Source organism: Homo sapiens, chromosome 7 (genome assembly GCF_000001405.40).
Source record: "Homo sapiens chromosome 7, GRCh38.p14 Primary Assembly".
NCBI lineage: Eukaryota > Metazoa > Chordata > Mammalia > Primates > Hominidae > Homo > Homo sapiens.
In genome coordinates, this window is record NC_000007.14 from 47,449,878 (window position 1) to 47,470,153 (window position 20,276).

At 47.6% G+C, this 20,276-nt stretch overlaps 1 protein-coding gene and 1 non-coding gene across 25 annotated transcripts in view; both read right to left on the reverse strand.

Moving 5' to 3' along the window:
* TNS3 (tensin 3) overlaps positions 1–20,276 on the reverse strand; it is a 307,433-nt gene that overhangs the window by 174,724 nt on the left and 112,433 nt on the right. The window contains exon 1 of one of the 24 annotated variants that reach the window (XM_011515483.3): positions 3,056–3,422. The exons of the other annotated variants lie outside the window; for them this stretch is intronic. The gene's annotated coding sequence lies outside the window, so the exon portion shown is untranslated. Of the gene's footprint in view, positions 1–3,055; positions 3,423–20,276 lie in introns of those variants that run through there. 24 annotated transcript variants of the gene reach the window in all.
* Positions 14,843–14,926, reverse strand: SNORD151 (small nucleolar RNA, C/D box 151). The gene has a single exon (NR_145813.1). It is a non-coding gene; the product is annotated as a small nucleolar RNA, C/D box 151 (small nucleolar RNA).

Genomic DNA, 20,276 nt, shown 5'->3' on the forward strand with positions numbered 1-20,276 from the left:
TTACAGGCGTGAGCCACCACGCCCAGCCCTGGTCTACTTTACTGTGCCGACCACAACTGCAAGAAAACAACTAACTGTGAATTCTCGTCTGAGCTCTACAGCCCCCTCCCATGCGGATCCAGCAGAGGCACTGGCAGTCTAGCTCCCAGAGGTATCTCTAGCCTCTGGGGCCGCACTCTGCACACAATAGCCACCCAGCACAGCAGTCTGTAGAATGAAGAAAGGAAGAAACGAACCACTAATCCCAAAGTGGCTGTGGAGTCATCTGGCCATCTGAAGAGGCATGAGGATGCTGTTATTAGATTTCAATAACAGACAGCTAGTTAGCTTTAGTTTTGGGTTAACAAAAATAAATGTACCCATTGACTTTAACAGGCTTATCTAAAAGAAGAATAGGATGAAAAGCAGTGACATCTGCTCCTTCCCAAGGTCATAACATGGAATAACTGGGGCCTATTTAGGAAGACAGTGCCCACAGAATAGCAATGTGGTTAAGCATCAGCTTGACAGCTCGGTAAAAGCTAACAGTGTGACTTGGATACACATGACTATAAACTGTGGATTTTTCTCACCCACTGAGCTGACCTCAGTACCCTGTGCCTACTCAAGTACTGAAAACGGTAATACACATTTTTTAAGTGTTTTCTCACATAATTCCCCAAGACTACCCTTTAAGAAGCAGTCCCCTTAGCATCTCTGCCTCCCTAAGACCCAAGACCCTGGAGCAGAGGTGACCATCCCTCTTCCCAGGGGGGCTCTGACCACTGGCAGAAAGCAGGTCTCCACTATCTGCCAGGCCTCTAGCTACAGCCCAGGCTGGCCAAAGAAGCAGTAACTAGCACTGGCCCTCACTCCTGCTTACCCAGGGGCCAATATGGGTGCAGGGCAGTGCCAGGATAGGTTAAACATGGCACCCCGTTCCCTGCCTCTCCTTGTCCTCACTGGCTTTTGGTGAAGAGGAAAGAAAAGAAGCCCTTGGCAGGGCATGGTGGCTCACACCTGTAATCCCAGCACTTTGGGAGGCCAAGGCAGGGGATCACAAGGTCAGGAGTTCAAGACCAGCCTGGCCAACGTGATGAAACCCCGTCTCTACTAAAAATACAAAAATTAGCCAGGTGTGGTGGCAGGTGCCTGTAAACCCAGCTACTTGGGTGACTGAGGCAGGAGGATTGTTTGAACCCAGGAGGTGGAGGTTGCAGTGAGCCAAGATCATGTCATTGCACTCCAGCCTGAGACGCTGTCTAAAAAATAAGAAAAAGCAGCCCTTTTATGGACGTCATGTTAGGAATCCCAGCAAGGCCTAAGCCTGCAAAGAGAATATCAGCTCCCCTGGGTGTCCCCAGGGCCTGTGCGCTGCTCCTAGCAGCCTGACCAGCCCTGAAAACTAGCAGTGTAAACAGCTCTGTAAAAAGAAACAAAAGGCCAGGCACAGTGGCTCACGTCTGTAATCCCAGCATTTTGGGAGGTGGAGGCAAATGGATCACTTGAGGCCAGGAGTTCGAGACCAACCTGGCCAACATGGCGAAATCCTGTCTCTACTAAAAATACAAAAAATTAGCCGGGCGTGGTGGTATGTGGCTGTAGTCCCAGGTACTCCAGAGGCTAAGGCAGGAAAATCGCTCAAACCCAGGAGGTGGAGATTGCAGTGAGCCGAGATGGTGCCACTGCACTCCAGCCTGGGCAACAGAGCGAGACTCCATCTCCAATAAATAAATAAATCAAAAGAAACAAAAGCCACGGATAAATCCACAAGGAAGCAGGACTATGAACAGCCCGGTGACGAGAGACACAGATCACAGCTGCCGGGCCATGTGTGAGGTGAGGACAATTAAACAGGTTGGGCTGAGACACCTCTGCACATTCTGTTTTTGTTTCACCAAGCAAATGGAGAAGAAATAAATGTAAAATCTTTTTCAAAGGCAACAACCTGAACAACATTCAGCTGGCAAATTTCAAGGCATTTATTTGTTCATCCTTCATTGATTCCTCCACCACCCAGCACATACGACTTGGGGGTTCAGCACACACTCTTTGTAATACTAATGCCTGGGTAGGCAGCCAGCTCTACTGCTCGAGTAAGCCGTCTGATCTTGGGAATTTACTTGCCCTCTGTGTGACTCAGTTTTCTCATCTGGAAAAGGGAGACAGAAACAGCATTCTTGGAAGGATTAAATAAGGAAACATAAACATAGGGCTTAGAACAGTGCCTGGCCAGTAATAAGTGCCAAAGAAATATTAGCTACTTATTCCATCATCTTATTTCTGTGTCAGGCCTCTGTGAGGCCCTGGAAATGCACTTTATCCACAAGTTATTAGGATCCCCCTTAGATCACAAAACCAGCTGTGACCACAATGCCCATTTAACAGTAGGAGAAACAATGCTCAGAGAGGGTAAGTGATTTTCCCAAAGCCACACAGTTAATAAGACATTTTTTTCCCTTCCAGAACAAGAATACCAGGAACCAATTAATTGTCAGGATTGCCCAACTTGATTTTCTGCTTAATGCTTTTAAACATAAGCAGCAATCGTTAAGAACTGCCAGAGAAAGTACACCCCATGGAGGGTGGGAAACTAAAATAAAGTCATCTTGTCATTTTACCTTCATGTTCAACTATGAGAAACAACAGACTAAGATTGTATCTCTATTTATTTGTAACGAAATAGTCACAGGATCCTGCCTCCCTGGCCAGGAGCTCAGGCTGGTTTGGAACCATATGGAAGGAGGCAGCTCAGGAAGACTGGCAGCAGGGAGAGGTAAGCAACACTCAGGGAGGACACAGAGATGTCAGCATTTCCAAAGAAGTCGGAAGCTCCCCTTTGCTCTTCTCACAAATAAGTTTCCCAAGAAGGGGCAGATGGGGCGGATGGTTCTTAGGACACAAGGTCCCACCGAACATCTGCAGCATTGAAGTGAAAGGGGAAAAATGACTTGGAAATGCCCCTTCACTGCAAAGCAGCCAGTACCGGAGGCCACAGAGGAGGGTGGCCAGGGACAGACAAAGTGCCCAGTGCCAGCCCAGCCGAGAGGCGGCACGTGGGGAGTTGGGAACTTACTGTGCTGGGCCTGGGCAGGGACCACCGGCCAGGGCTGCTTTTCCCTTCCAGAAACAGCTCCTCCTACGTTTCGCTCCTTCCCCTGCTTTAGTCAAGCACACCCCTCTTCGTGTTAATGTCTCGGCAGCTCTGGGCATAAAGGAGGCAGCTGGAATAGCCCACCAGGTGGGAGAGCCTGGTGAGTGTGGGAGTCCCCAGAACCACAGCCAGGAGCAGCTGGCAGGTGTGCCCGGCCCCACGGTGAGCACGCAGGCATGGAGCTCACAGGACAATGTCCGCCCGGGGCTGAGGGCCAGCCTGCCGAGGGCCAGCCTGCCAAGGGCCTGAGGGACAGGAACAAGAACAGCGCTCTCCGGGAGAGCCTTCTGACCAGGAAGCTGAGTGGCTGTGCCTTCCTGGGGACTAGCCACTAGGGAGAACCGCCTCTCAAAAGTTCCCCCAGGAAAAACAAAACCTACTTCGAGCTGCTGGGAGGGCAGGTTACTCACCTCTGTATCCCAGGTAACAGATGCCTGATGCCCACTGGCCTTCCTCCCTCCCTCTTTCCTTCCTCTCCCCCAACCCCATTCTCTCCTTTACCACTTCCTTCCTTAGTTCATTTTTGCTCCACTTCATTCCAAATAGAATTTGAGATGACTCATCGAATGAATTCAACATAACTAAATAAAATTTTTAAAATAAAAACCAAACCAATAAACAAGCACAAAAACAGGGTTAAAGACAAGAGTGGCCAGGCCAGAGAGAAGGAAAGGTATGCAGCGAAACCTCAGTTATGGGAATGAGGCACCAGACGGTTCTGAGTTACAAAACGGGAGATGGAGGCCGGATACACGGCAGATCTTGGTGACATAGAGTCCCGGACCTGCCCGAGGCGGGTTTATTTCCTCACTTAGCACTCAGAGCTAAGAGGAAGGGTGGCCAGCCCGGGCCACATCGTGTCCTCAGCTGTTAGACTCACCCAGGCAGCTGTTTAAACTGATCTCACTGATCTCATGACTACATGGTCAGTCACGTCCCTTTAACTGACAGGGAGATTTGTGTGTGCTTTTTTGTAACATCTTACATGCACTTACATTCTTTTATTTTTATCACTTATTTCATAACGAAAACATTTCTTCACATAGAAAAGTGGACCAAGGGAGGGGAGGTGGGGAGGGCCTCATTGGGCCCCCAGCATAACCCTATCAGTGGGCAGGGTGTTCTGGGGGCGCCCATTCCACTGGAAACCACGTGGTGTCTCCTTCCAGGCTGAACACAAACAGGGGGCCCCAGTTTATAACTAGCCAGGGGTGCACTGCTCAGACCAGGCTCAGCTCCACAAGGCAGCCTGCGCTTCCTGCCACCTGCCCACCATTTGGCAGGGGCAGACACAGCAGTGACGGCAGGGGGTCAAAATAGGACCACCTGTCCCTTTACTGGCCACAGTCATCAGACCCGGAGACACTAAACAGGACTTTAACTCCTCCGAGCATTGGTTTCCACCTCTGTGAAACTAGCTGACAACACCACCAGCCTCCCAGGATCTCTGTGGGGACTAAGAAGATGCCTCAAGGCACCAAGCCCAAGCCAGCAGCACTCATCATCAGCCCTGGGGGAGAGAGGAGGGTTGCATGTGTTGTTTCCAGTCCAACTCCCGCATTTTACAATGGAGGAAAGGCCATGGGGAGGGGCTGCTCTGGGGGGGCAACAGCTGGGCAGGGTGTGGCACCCTGAGGACAGGCCAGTTTATTCCTTACTTCATGGTGACAGAAAACAGGCCGAGCCCTAGAGAGCCAGCTCTCTCAAAGTACCCCCAATGGGAGTGTCCTCAACTGCAGGCAGCGGCCAGCCAGGCAGAGCCAGGCAGGGGGCTCCCATCCATAGGCGAGCAAGTTAGCAAGGGCGGCCTGGGAGGGAAGTGCCTTCTCTAGAAGGTGACAACATTGTTAATGAGCCCGTGTTAATGTCAGTCATCTCCGGAGTCTGAAAGTGCCCTGCAGCAGGTGGGAGGGGTTATGTATGCTGAGTCCACTCTGGAGTATGCCCTGCAGAGCTGCGTTCTGTCCTGTTAGATGTCCCACCCAAACTCACACAGATCCCCCTGCAGAGAGCCTGGAAACCAGCCCCTCAGGGCACAGCACAGGCATCCCAAGGACAGCCCCACCAAACCCCCAGCATACAGATACCTGGTCCTGTCCACATGGGATGTCGGGGGTGCTGACGGGGGCAAGACCCACAGATGCTGACCACCATGGGCCACAGAGATAGGTCTCTGGCCCTGCAGCCAGCTGGTTCCATACAATAGCTCAATGTTTGCAAGGCTGAGGGAAGGGCCTAATTCACCCACCCCAGCCTGGCCAACTCTGATGGGCAAAGGGGCTGCCCAGAGAATGCTGAGAGGATCACCCCAACTCAGACCAGGACCATACCTGCCTCCACACCCAGAAGGGCACAGCAGGGCTTTTGCTTTAGAATGAAGAGCTAATGAATTGCACTGACACTGACAGAGCAGCCTTAACCTGGAGTTTATCCCACAATAATCAGATTCATATGGATAACCCTGGAAACAACAAGCAGAGAGGGCTCTGAGCAGCCCTGCTTCCCTTTCATATCCACAAATGCAAACAAGTATTTGCAGGAGGGCTAGCCCATTTCAGGCACTGCAGGGAGAATGCAGGTGTGACAGAGGGGAAAGACCAGGATGGACTGAAAACTGAATGGATGAGAATCCTGTCCTGGAGGTGCTGGATAAGTACACATTTAAGACCCCATAAAGGAGAGAGAAGGCAGTGCCAGAGGTGGCGGCGATGGGCACCTGGGAGAAGAAGAGCTCGTCTCCAGCTCTAGAAACCACGGCCACTTTGCAGATCCATCAGGGCAGCTCTTGGGATAGGCCAGGATGGCTAGAAAGCATCTGATACAAAGTGGGCGCCTGTGGCAGAGGTGGGGCAGGAGGAGCAAATTCCTTCAGAGGACAGAGTCTGGGCAGAGAAATGGAGGCACACTGCGTGTGGTGGGTGGGGCAGCCAGGAGTGACACACGCCATGCTCACAGGATGCATGAGAAAGAGGCTCAAGCCCGGGCTCAAGGAGCCCAAATGCCAGATGATGAATCCATGACGATGAAAGGTGTCAGAAGTTTCTGCATAGGGGAGTGACACAATCTCAATTGTTTTTAACAAGGTTTAGTGGTAGTAGCAGCAGCAAGATTAATATAAGGGGAACACTGGGCAGTGGACGACATAGGTGGAAATGTCAGGCCCAAGAGCAGACAGCTGCTGACCTGGACCTCATCTGTTAGTGGCATCAGGAGTGGCTCCAGCAGGCTCCAGGAGCCCAGGGTGCACTTCCCAGACATCAGGTCGGAGGTTGAAATCAGCAATGGGGGGAGTATTTATACCAAAGAAATCAGCAAACACTGCCGACCGAGCTTTTACCTGGAAAACCTCTATTAAACATTCACCAGCAACCCCGTGATATTCGTCCTCTAGAAGCCTCAGATTCCCCACCTGGGGAATGGGGGTGGAAATGGCACATAATGCAGAGTTCTAGGAAGATCAAGTAAGGTAAGCATGCAAAGTGCTTAATACTGTGCCTGGAACACCACACATGCTCAACACGTGCCAGCTTTTACTAGTATATTACATTATTACTATTGGGGCAATCAACGGAGGCCAGGAGGGCATCCATTCAGGATGTGAGGAGAAGGAAGACAAGGCCAACAGACCCAGGTCCCCTGAAGCTGAGGAGGTAAATGATGCTGAGACAGCAACAGGGAACGCTCAAGGACCAGCACGTATAGGTGCAGGCCCGGCAAGCACACACACAACACAGCCCACGAGACATTCGCTGCCCCACACCTGCTGCTCACCTCAGCCAACCCCCTCCACATCTGGAGCTCCAACAGTGAGAACCAGCTGGGTAACAACAGGTCCCCATTCCTTAAGGACGCTTTCAGCTCTTCCTCCTTGAGTGTTTCTCAGCCCTTTTGAAGGTTATGAGTATTAGTGAATGACATTAACGAGACTGTCTTCCAAGGACTCCCATTGTGTAGGACAATTCAGTATCATAGTAACTTTCTCCCTACCTTACCCCTTTCTTTTAAGAAAATGATAATCTCTCTTTATAAATGTCTTTTAAAATATTCAGTGTGGGCTCAATTCTTCCCATATCATTATCCCTGGAGGTGTGCTGGTAAAGGGGAGGGGAGGGGAGGGGAGGGGAGGAGGGGAGGGGAGGGGAGGGGAAGAGAGGGGAGGGGAAGGGAGGGGAGGGGAGGGGAGGGGAGAGGCAACCACCTCGATGTATCCTCTGTCCATTCCTGTGGCGTAAATACTGCCACCATGGTTCATTCTAAGCTAGCTGGGTAATTCCACTGAAGATGGAGTGGGGATGTGTGAGTGATCTCACTCAATTCCTCACTAAAATGTTCTCTTTTTATAGGTGTGGAAATGATGCCCTTGATATCTAATTGACCTGATCAGTGCTCTAGGCCAGGGCCTACAGCTCCTCCCCACTTCCACACACGTCATGGATAGGCAACCTATCTCAGAGACAGGCCCTTCTCACTCCAAATAGCTTCAACAGCCTCCAAGAGGCCACTCCTCCTAATCACTCTCCCTTTCATCTTCCCACTTTCTCCACTAAATTAACTTCGTTACCACTTCTGAAACCCAAGCTATCAAAAACCCATCACCACCATGGTTTCCTGCCACTCAAGCACCTAGAATGCTCCCTATTTCTATAGAGCTCCAAGTCAGTCCCCTCCAACCACTACACACTATGGTGCCCTCCATCCATCTACCACCACTCATCCTTTCTGCAGAGGCAGAGCGTATTACAGTTGAAGGACCATGGGAAAGGACTTGGAGGCAGGGAGCCTGACTCAAATCCTAGCTCTGCCCTACAGACAGGTTACTCTGGGTAGTCAGTGAGCCCTGTCGCCTCAGTGTCCTCATCTGTAAAAACAGGGACAATGACAGGGACCCAGCACTGTCCTCAGGTGCACCCTGAACTTGCTCCTAGCAGCTCACAAGCAGAAGCTTGAGCCTATCAGGAGACTCTGGGAAGAGGACATAGTCTGAGGCACCAAAAAAAGGAAGTATATCTGCTCAGGTCAATCCTAAAACCTATTGAGACAGTACGTCTCATGCCAAAATAATGTCAATATGCCACATACATGACGTTTACACTACACAGAAACATGGGTGATCTTACTCAATTTCTTACAGGTGAGGAAATAATGTCCTTGGTATCTAACTGACCCGTTCAAGGTCATCTGGTTAGTCAGCTGAGGCCACGTCTGCCCAGGATGAGTGCTCTAGGCCAGGGCCCACGGGCTCCTCCCAACTCCCACACACACACGCCATGGGACAGTCACCTGGGGCTCTGCCAAAGGGCAGCTTCACTAGCTGAGCACAGGGCATCCATTTCCCTTTTAAACATGGGGACAGATGTGTCCTCTAACCTCTGAGGCTTCCATCTGGAAGTGCCTCATGAGTCAGTGGCTCACATTTAGAACAGCTGTGCCTCCTGGATGCCCCAACCTTTTTTCTCCCTCATTTCTATCCCAGAGAGATTAGATGTCCTGTACAAATTGGATCTGAAAATGATAATAAAATAAAATGTAATATAAAACAAGATGAAATAAAATCAGTCTGCGCTGGGATGAGCTGTGAAAAACGGGGCTGCTCAAGCCACCTCCTGTGAGCACAAGCCAACCACAGACGAAGCCTTCTGCATGAGGAACAAGCAGTCCCCCCATCCCTTCCCGCAGGTGCAGGCTTGCAGCTCGGGAGTCAGACCCCAGGCATGTAGGTCCCAGGCCATCTGAGGAGCCTGTGTAGACCCCTGTGGCTGAAGAGCAGGGCCTCACTGCCCTTGAGAGGCTAGCTCTGAGAACCAGCTTTTTAAATAACAAGTACCACCTACTTTCATTCTTATGATAAAAGTTACTTGGTTATAGAAAATTCAGAAAGTAGACATATACAAAAAGAAGCAGACAGAATCAGCCTCTCTCTCCCTCCCATACCCCAAGATAACCAACTTTAGCCAGATAGGATGGACCCCTAAATAAGTACGGGCGACTTTCTTCCGCCCATACTTATTTAAAAGCCAAATGGTGCTTTATGTCCATATCACTATATTTTCTTCTGCACTGCAATTTTTAACAGTGGCATAGTACCCAATTATCCAGATGGAACATAATCCCTCTTTAACAGCATGTTTTTTGGTCTCAAATTTCCCACTCTTATGAATGATGCTATGAGAAACATTCTATAGTTTAAAATGTTAACATCCTTAGTGGCTGCCTCGGGATAAACACCCAGAGATGCCATGTGCTTTGGGGTCCACATCACTAGGACTTCCTCTAGAAAGTGCTGTGACTTCCAGGACCACATGCATCATCCCAGAGAAGAGGAAACATACAAAACATGAAACCCATTCCATCTTTTTCTATTTAAGCATATTTTATCCCCTTTCCAAAAAAGAAACTATCTTGTCAAAGGTAAAGAGACTTGAAGTGTCTGGATAGTTATGAAACCAGTGTCCCAGAGAACACAGCAGAGGAGAAAACGGCACCTCCAAACCTCTCTGCAAGCACCTTCATCCCCTCCCAGGTCAGTCTCAGGCCCCAAGTGGACTATGCCACTGGAGTGTCCTAGAATGTAAATTCCCCCACAAGAGAACCACGGCAGGCCTCCATATCCCCACACAGGGCCCAGTGTCTGGTGCATCAGAGGTCCCCAGGACATAAATATTTATAAACTGATTGATTAATGAAGGAGGGGCAGGGCAGTGGAAGAGAGGACTCATCTGTTCCATAATCAAGACCATAACTTCAAGTTTATGATTTATTACCCACCATATCTGGCAAAGGTAGCACCGTCCTCCTCCCCACTGGAGACTGACAAAATGCCTGGTACCATCTGTTAATGGATGAAATGCATTCCCACAAACATCCATATGTTGAAGTCCTAGTGCCCAGGACCTCAGAGGGTGACAGTTTGGAAACAGGATCTTTAAAGAAGTGATTAAGTTAAAATGACACCATTAGGGTGGCCCTAATCCAGTATGAGTGGTGTCTTTATAAAAAGAGGAGATTATCCTGGCTAACACGGTGAAACCTCGTCTCTACTAAAAATACAAAAAATTAGCCATGCATGGTGGCGGGCTCCTGTAGTCCCAGCTACTCGGGAGGCTGAGGCAGGAGAATGGCGTGAACCTGAGAGGCGGAGCTTGCAGTGAGCCGAGATCGCACCACTGCACTCCAGCCCGGGCGACAGAGCAAGACTCTGTCCCAAAAAAAAAAAAAAAAAAAAAAAAAGAAGAGGAGATTAGGACACAGACACACATAGAGGGGCAGCCATGTGAGGACACAGGGAGAAAACGGCCACCTACAAGCCAATGAGAAAGCCCTCAGGAGAATCCAACCCTGCAGACACCCTCATCTCAGCCTTCCAGCCTCCAGGACTGAGGGTGATAACCGCCCATTGCTGCAGCTGCCCCGCACGGTGGTGCTTTGTCTTGGCAGCCTAAGCTGACTAAGACGACATCTGAAAGCTCTGAGATGCCTGGTGGGTGTTTGGGAAATGCTGCTGCCAGGAGCAACCTTCAGCTCCCAGGATGGGCAGGTGGCCTGGAGATGCTCACCTGCCGCCCTGCGCTCCCCTCACTTCACCCTCTCCTGGCAGGAAGCCAGGCTGACTGTGAACAGCAGCAATAAAGCAAGGAGTGGCATAAGGTGTGGGGCCGGAATGGCCCCTAGCCACACGTGGAAACGTTGCCTCCTCCTCCTGAATGTGTTAAATAAAAGGGAGAGGCAGTGGGGAAAACAATCCAGTAAGTCAAGCTGGTTAATGTAACTAGGAAGATTGGGCAATTTGATGGGCATGCCAAAATATTGAAGGAGGAGGAACAGCAGGAGCATCAAGACACAAGATATCCAACTACTTTCAGCTCTTCCTCCACCTAGTAACTTCCAATAAAGCTGAAGGAGGATGTGCTCTAAACCAGAGAGGTTTTATGTGCATCATATACCTTAACATTACAGATCTATAGATCCCGCCATGAGAAAATAAGTTTATTGAGCAATTAACTTCAAAATTTATTTTCCAGCTGTTAGAATGTGTCCAGTCTCACTGACAATGCTGGAGTTGAAAAAAAACGGGAAAGAGCATATTCCCGCCTTTGGGAAGCTTACAGTGAGATGAGGGGACACAGGCAGGTGTAAACATAAGACAGTGAGCCCCGCATTAAGTGTTGTATGTCAAGAAATGAGTACATTGGAAGCTGAACCAGGCTGAGCAAAGCCACATTCATGTGTGAGTCTTTTCTGCTTACTGGTTAGAATGAAACTGCATCTTGCCCTCCAAGGACCACATAAATGAGGTCACTCCAAAACCACCTCTACAGGCTTCCCACCAACCATGGATCTGCTGTCTCCCTGTTCGTTCCATGAGACAATATGGAATGCATGGCCTGAGCCAGCTGGCTGGGCTCCACAATGGAGCACTAGAGAATTGGCTGTCCCCGCTCCCACTGAGGGGCTCAGTCAGCCAAGACTCTAGCAGTGCAGAAGTAGGAACTAGATGAAGACCGAAGGGGCCCAGGGCCTTCCTCACCACCCCTGTCCAGGAACATCATTGTTACTACTGAGGAGCCGGGCACTGCATGCCCACTGCATGCCTGAAGCCAGCAGGCTGGGCTCTGCAGTCCCGCACTGTGTTTCTTCTGTCAATTCAAAAGCTGACCAAATGACCACTGCGTCTGCTCCCAACCCTGCAAATGCCAGTTGTACCAGTTATTGTAATTGCAGAGCTTAATAAAATACTGCAGAAATCAATGAAATGTGAGCAAAAAAGGATTTGTTACTGCTGCAAACACTGAAGTTTTTGAGAGCCTTGCGTGAGGCAGTCAGTAAAACTCATCAAATTTCTGTAGGGCAGCTGGGGCAGAGTCCAGAGGATTTCTATGCTCCAATTATTCCTAAGTATCTTTAAGCTTTCTTACACTCTGAGGAACCCCAAATGGGAAATTTCAATGACTCATTGTAGATGTACACTATGTAAAAACAGGACAGGGAACCCCAGACCCTGGAGAGAACTCAAAGACAGGGTGGGATGGTACGTCAAAGACAGGTGGCTACTTTTACCGGTTTTCAGACACAATGGAATCCTAAATGAAAGGTTCAGGATTCCGCAAGTTAACTGATACTTCAGTTCAATAATCACTTATAAATTCTGATCCCTTTAAATGACAGATTCTGCCTGGATGTGAAGCCAAATGCATAGTAAGTGACATGCAAGCAGCAATGACCCTCCTCGTTGCCCCTGTATTAATACCAGTAACGATCATTGTCACAGCAAGTTATTCCACATCCACTCTATTCCTGACATAATGCAACATGATTTGCTTGTATTCTCTCTCCATCCTTGTAGCAGCCTGCTGAGCAAGGAACCCTTATCATCCCCACTTTCAAACAGGCATAAGCCACTGCGCCTGGCCGAGGTTATGTGTTGATCAGTTCGTGAAAACACTGTGACTAGAGCTCGCAGGACCCTAACCCTTTATTTCTCCTAGAGACAGAAGCTCAGTGTTGGCTAAATCAGTGTTTGCAGCAACTTTATCGAACATGACTACCACCAATAATGAGAATCTACTGTAATTGATTAGGTATTGACTAGGGTTCCATAGTAAGACAGCCCCATTGTCAGGCTGTCACTTCATCTAGTTCAAACCCAGGACCAGGCTTGCCCACCTGAGGCCATTTGCAGCAAGGGGAGTGCTAGGACACAGGCCAGGTCTGTCTTAGCTTTCACTCCACCACGAGGGACCATCGACTTTTCTACCTCCCTAGAACTCCACAGCCAAGACTAGTTAGCCCTCTGCCCTGATTCCTCCCCGCTGTGCCTCTCTTCTCCCTGCCTCTCCGGTTTGTAAGCAAATTGCCTATCATAGGTTCACAGAAGGCAGCCAGAAAGTGGGCTGGGATCTGTTCTCTCAGATAGTAAAGCTCAGGGAAAGAATCATTAAGTGAAAACCTGACAATGAGGCTGTCCTACAATGGACCCTAATCAATGCCTAATCAATTACAGTTGATTTTCGTTATTGGCAGTAGTTGTGTTCTATAAAGTTGCTGCAAACACTGATTTGACCAACACTGAGCTTCCGTCTCTAGGAGAAATACAGGGTTAGGGTCCTGCGAGCTCTAGTCACAGCATTTTCACCAACCGCTTCAAGGCATAACCTTGGCCGGGTGCAGTGGCTCACACCTGTAATCTCAGCACTTTGAGAGGCCTAGGCAGGTGGATCACCTGAGGTCAGGAGTTCGAGACCAGCCTGGCCAATGTGGTGAAACCCCATCTCTACTAAAAATGTACAAATTGTCGGGAGTGGTTGTGCATGCCTGTAATCCCAGTTACTCAGGAGGCTGGGGCATGAGAATCACTTGAACCCAGGAGGCAGAGGTTGCAGTGAACCGAGATCATGCCACAGCACTCCGGCCTGGGTGACAAAGAGAGACCCTAATTTAATAAATACTGTGGATTCATTAACATGAAACTCTCAGCCATTGGTGCTGTAACTCACACCTGAAGGAAGGACTGTCTAACACATGCGCTTTCTCCACCAGGCACAGGACAGTCATCTTGTGCTTAGGGACACTGGACATCACATCAGCACTACACTTGCATTTTAAACAGCATAATCAACAACAGAAGCACAAAAATGGGGGAAATGTGGCACTAAATAGACTGTGGAAAGGATGCCTGTCTGCAGTATGAGTTGAAACAAGGAAGAGCTTTGCTTTGTTCAGTGTCAGACGGGAACATGCAGGTGGGCAACCCGAATTTTGAGTCTTTTTGTTCATGTCTTCAAATGACCACAAAATTGTCCTTGGTATTGATTTTGGTGTTACAAATAAATTGTATCCAGGAGGCTAATTTGCAAATATGGAATCCACAAGTAATGAAAATCAACTATAATTTAATCTTCAAATTTGTAGATTTAAAATTGCTAGAAACTTGCCAGTTTCTAATTCTAATGCCCCCACTTAATACACCTGTTACTCTAACATTATTAAAAGGGCCGTAATCACAGCCTAGTCCACCCGTAATTTTTATCTACCTGACTCTACTTCTTCATCCCTAGGATGCCTCATGCTGCTACAGAAAGCAAAGCCTTAGAGGAATCCTTCCTCCTGACAAGGAAGCTCCAGGGTGGCAAGTTCAGGCTGCAGATGCCTTCTTCTAAAGACGTGCACTTCTTTTCCAGATTTATGTTCCCTACCTGAGGACCTCTATTGATTTGGCAATGCCTTGCCTTGAGAAGCTTACAGCATTTTCTAGGCAAACACACTGAGGACTCTGGCATCAGAATATTTTCTGGAGCACGTACGACAGAAGCCAATAGTCATCTGCCCGGGATGGAAAGAAGAAAGGCATCAGAGAATGTGAGTTTCTCAGGTGGAAGGAAATCATAAACGTCAGGTCACCCAAACCCCAGAGGCCGCCGAGTTCTCAGTAACCCTACGCCCCGAGCACCCTCAACACCCCTAGGATTGCTCAAGGTGGCCCCGGGTGGCAGCCCCACCCCAGCAAGTCATCTCCTAGAACAGGCTGAACAGACTTCAGTTTGCATCAGAACCACCAGGAGGGCATATTAGGAGAGAGACTTAGGGACCCTATCCCAGAATTTCTGATTCAACAGGTCTGAGTGGGCACAAAGAGTTTGTATTTCTAAGTTCCCAGGTTTATGCTGATGCTGCTGGTCTTAGATGACACTCTGAGATCCACTGACCTAAAATATTTGTGCATCAGTGTGGTTTATACTAACGACCTTGTCACCACATGCAATGCGGGCTTCATTACTGCATCCTCTGCCATCATTTGCACTCAGTCTCCCAATCACCCTAAGAAGGAACACTGCAACATAACTTCCAGCCACTACTTAAATGGCACCAATGATGGGGAGCTCAGGACCTCATACAAGTCCAAGTCCATGTTTAACTCCCCTAATATTCCAAAGTGCTTCACTCTCTTGAATCACAATCTGTGCTCACTGGATGCCTGCGCCTTGGCCCTATTTCCTTCCATGCACAAAACCTATCAAGGCTGATCTCCCTGGTGAGTGAGTTGTATGATTTTCCCAGGGGAAAAAAAGTAAAAATGTACCTGGCTAGTGTGAAACAACCCTTTATTCAGAATGATTTCTTTAAAGGCTTTATGAAGCAAGTGTTACTATTTTACAAAGCAGCCTGTGAACTCTGTGCCATGTGTTGACAAACTCAGTGGGTTTTCAGCGAAACATTTCATCAAATAAGACACATTGTAGCACTGCTGAGGGGCTATCACCCAGATGTCAACGGCTCAATGCCACACAGGAGACTTGTGGGAAAAGTCTTAAGCCATTAGGTCATGGAAGATAACTGCAAGAGGGGGAAAGGACGCTGGCTTGGGAAACACTGGTGTGTCATATGATAAAAACAGTGACCAGCCAGCCTGAGCTCTGTGCCTAAACACATCATCTGCGCCCTGCACAATGCCCCTGTGAAGTAGAGACACGCGGATCAGAAGCCCCAGGTCCCACCACTTTGTTTCCAGTCACCAACTTGTCCCCAAATCAACTGCATCCATACACCGACACCCCCTACCCAACTGTGCCATTTAAAGCTAACCCTAGATATCACATCACTTCATCCATAAATATCTCAGTACATATCTTTAAAAGTCAAGCCGGGCACAATGGCTCACGTCTGTAATCCCAGCACTTTGGGAGGCCGAGGTGGGAGGATCACCTGAGGTCAGGAGTTCGAGACAAGCCTGACCAACATGGAGAAACCCCATCTCTACTAAAAATACAAAATTAGCCGGGCGTGGTGGTGGATGCCTGTAATCCCAGCTATTCAGGAGGCTGAGGCAGGAGAATTGCTTGAACACAAGAGGCGGAGGTTGCTGTGAGCCGAGATCACACCATTGCACTCCAGCCTGGGCAACAAGAGCGAAACTCCGTCTAAAAATAAATAAATAAATAAATAAATAAATAATTTAAAAAAATAAAAGTCAAGAACATTTTAATACATAGAACAAACTGCCAGAATTGTGAAGAATAATTTCTTAAAATATCTAATTCATGTTCAAATTTCTCTGCCATACGTGTTTTGGGGTTGTTTGGATTTATTTTTACAGTCTAAGTTACAGTCTGAATAAAGTCTTACGATGTTTATTCAATATGTCACTTCAGTTCCTTTCTTTTTTTTTTCTTTGATACGGAGCCTCTGTCGCCCAGGCTGGAGTGCAGTGGTACAATCTCGGCTCACTGCAATCTCTGCCTCCTGGGTTCAAGCCATTCTCCTGCCTCAGCCTCCCAAGTAGCTGGGATTACAGACGTGCACCACCAAGACCAGCTAATTTTTGTATTTTTATAGAGATGGGGTTTCACCATGTTGGCCAGGCTGGTCTCCTGACCTCAGATGATCCGCCTGCCTTGGCCTCCCAAAGTGCTGGGATTACAGGCGTGAGCCACAGCACCCGACCCAGTTCCTTTTTCTTCCTCCTCTTTTTGCAATGTATTTGAAAAAGACTGGGGTTGTTTCCACACAGTAGAATTCCCTCTGCCCTGGATTTCGCTGAGCCCTGCAGTATGGCTTCACAGATGTCCTGGCCCCTGGACTTCCTGTCAGTTGCAGATGGATCTGAGGCTGGGTCTGATTCTGGTTTGATTCTGGTGAGGACTTGGCTAGGGTGAGGACTCAGCTGTGTACTTCCTGCAAGGAGGCTTACAACCCTATGACCCATGGTCTAACTCCCCTTTTGTGATAGTGCAGGTTACAGAGGACCAGAGCCTAGAGCCAGACAGTCATTTATTAGGAGTTTGGAAAGGGCACTATGTTAACCCTATCACATTTTCAAGGTTTATTAGCTGGAATTCTTCTTTCAATACAACTTTCCCTCTTCCTTTATTTGGAAACTCCAAAGAACAGTTCCCAAAGGTTAAATGCTCGATTGCTTCTCTTTATTTACCAAATCAGAATGAGTTGGTTCCCTACATCCCCCAAAGGTAACTAGGGAGTGCTGTGGTGATGACGGTGGTAATGGTGGTGATGACGGTGGTGGTGATGGTGTAAGTAGTACTTTTGAAAGTCTGTTGCATATGTTAGATAATTACATCTGTGTCCAAAGTACAAAGCTAACAGCTATTACAACCTGGATGCAAGCACAGCCTGCCCCGGTGAAGTCCCTCATCTTCCATGACCCCAGGTTCTCTTCAAATTCCATAATTTCTGGAAAGACAGGCCATGGGGCTACCCCAGGGCCTGAGGGCCAGAGAGGACGGGATGGGGAGTGCTAGTGGTCATCACGCTGGGAAACGAAGTGTTAGTTAAGTAGAGAAAAACTTCCCACTAAAGTAGAAAATACTCATCCAATTAAACATGTTTCTCCTTATTCTTTCTCTACGATTGAGTCTCCAAATATGACAAGGTTTCCGGCAGGGACTTTTTTCTTTTTAATTTTTTAACAAAAATTGTTTCCTGATACTCTCGGGAAAGTGCACATTTTAAAGAAACCTGTTATAAATGCACCAGGAGAATGAGACAATTATCACAGCAGCTATGAGGACCAGGAGCCCATGAAGTTTCAGATTTTGAAGCCAACAGTTGTCCTGATGCTGGCAGACTGACACCCAGACTTGGGTCCCCAGCAACACACAGTATGAGTGAAGTTTCTGCCCAAAAAGCTCAAGATGCCTTCAGTGACCTGAGGAAACCGCCATGGTACCTGCTTCTCTAAAATAGGACTATTGAGCCACAGGAGACCACAGATTCATAGCCAAGCAACCCCCATATTTGAAGATAAGAAAACAGAAGGTTAGAAAACAAGGCCATGTATAACAGGAGGGGCCTGAGCCTAGACCCTGGCTCCTGGACCAAGCCAGCTCCCTCCCACAGCACGCTGGCTGTCCCCCAAGTGGATGTAGGTTGGAGATGTTGTTGTGTGTGGTTTTCTACATGAGTATCCCTTTTGCAGGTAAAATACACTCAGGTAATATAAATAATGCACAAACGAATGCCTCCTCTGACCTGGAATCTGTAACGTCTCCTTGTCACATGCCAACTTCTCTCCAACTGCAGACATTTAAAAAAAAAAATCAGCACTTTGAGAGCCTGAGGCAGGCAGATCACTTGAGATCAGGAGTTCAAGACCAGCCTGGACAACACAGTGAAACCCCATCTCTACTAAAAATACAAAAATTAGGCCGGGCACAGTGGCTCACACTTGTAATCCCAGCACTTTAGGAGGCAGGCAGAATTACCTGAGGTCAGGAGTTCGAGACCAGCCTGGCCAACATGATGAAACCCCGTCTCTAGTAAAAATACAAAAATCATCCAGGCGTGGTGGCACACGCATATAATCGCAGCTACTCGGGAGGCTGAGGCATGAGAATCACTTGAACCCGGGAGGCAGAGGTTGCAGTGAACCAAGATTACATCACTGCACTCCAGCCTGAGCAACAGGGCAAGAATCTGTCTCAAAAATAAATAAATAAATAAATAAAATCAGTATTTAATGTTCCCCTTCAGTAGTTACTGCTATTTCCCGAACCAATCACATATGGCCACTGCGTTTAAGGGCCTCTCCATATTTAAAATGCGTGACTACTGCTGAAAGAAATCAGAGAAAACACAAGCAAATGGAAAAACATCCCATGCTTATGAATTAGAAGAATCAATATCATTAAAATGGCCATACTACCCAAAGCAATTTACAGATTCAATGCTATTCCTATCAAACTACTGACATCATTCTTCACAGAATCAGAAAAAAAACTATTGTAAAATTCATATGGAACCAAAAAAGAGCCAAAATAGCCAAAGCAATCCTAAGCAAAAAGAACAAAGCCAAAGGCATCACATTATTCAACTTCAAACTATACTACAAGGCTAATGTAACCAAAACAGTACGGTACTGGCACAGAAACAGACACATATTCCAACTGAACAGAACAGAAAACACAAATAAAGCTGCACACTTACAACCATCTAATCTTCAACAAGGTCAACAAAAACAAGCAATGGGGAAAGGACACCTTATTCAATAAATAGTGCTGGGATAACTTGCTAGCCATATGCAGAAGAATGGAACTAGACCCTTACCTTTCACCGTATATAAAAACTAACCCAAGGTAGATTACAGATTTAAATGTAAGACCTCAAACTATAAAAATCCTGAAGAAAACCTAAGAAATACCCTTATCGACATCAGCCTTGGCAAAGAATTTATGGCCAAGTACCCAAAAATAATTTCAACAAAAACAAAAATTGACAAGTGGGAGCTAATTAAACTAAAGAACTTCTGCTTAACAAAAGAAACTATCAACAGAGTAAACAGACATCCTACAGAATGGGAGAAAATATTCACAAACTATGCATCCAACAAAGGCTGAATATCTCACACCAGTCAGAATGGCTATTATTAAAAAGTCAAAAAACATCAGACGTCGGCTAGGCTGCAGAGAAAAGGAATGCTTGTACACTGCTAGTGGAAAAGTAAATGAGTTCAGCCACTGTGGAAAGCAGTGTGGAGATTTCTCAAAGAACTTAAAACAGAACTACCATTCAACCCAGCAACTCACTTATGGGTACATACCCAAAGAAATATAGATCATTATACCAAAAAGACACATGCACTCATATGTTCATCACCGTGCTATTCACAATAGCAAAGACATAGAATTATCCTAAGTGCCATTAAGGGTGGACTGGATAAAGAAAATGTGGTATAGGCTGGGCACGGTGGCTCACGCCTGTAATCCCAGCACTCTGAAAGGCCAGGGCGGGCGGATCACCTGAGGTCAGGAGTTCGAGACCAGCCTGACCAACATGGTGAAACACTGTCCCTGATAAAAATATAAAAATTAGCCAGGCGTAATGGCAGGTGCGTGTAATCCAAGTTACTCAGGAGGCTAAGGCAGGAGAATCGCTTGAGCCCAGGAGGCAGAGGTTGCAGTGAGCCAAGATTGTTCCACTGCACTCCAGCCTGGGCAACAGAATGAAACTCTGTCTCAAAAAAAAAAAAAAAAAAAAAAAATTGTGGTACATGTACACCATGGAATACTACAAACCCATAAACAAGAACGAAATCATGTCCTTTGCAGCAACATAGATGGATGTGGATGCCATAACCCTAGACAAATTAACACAGGAACAGAAAACAAAACACCACATGTTCTCACATGGGAACTGA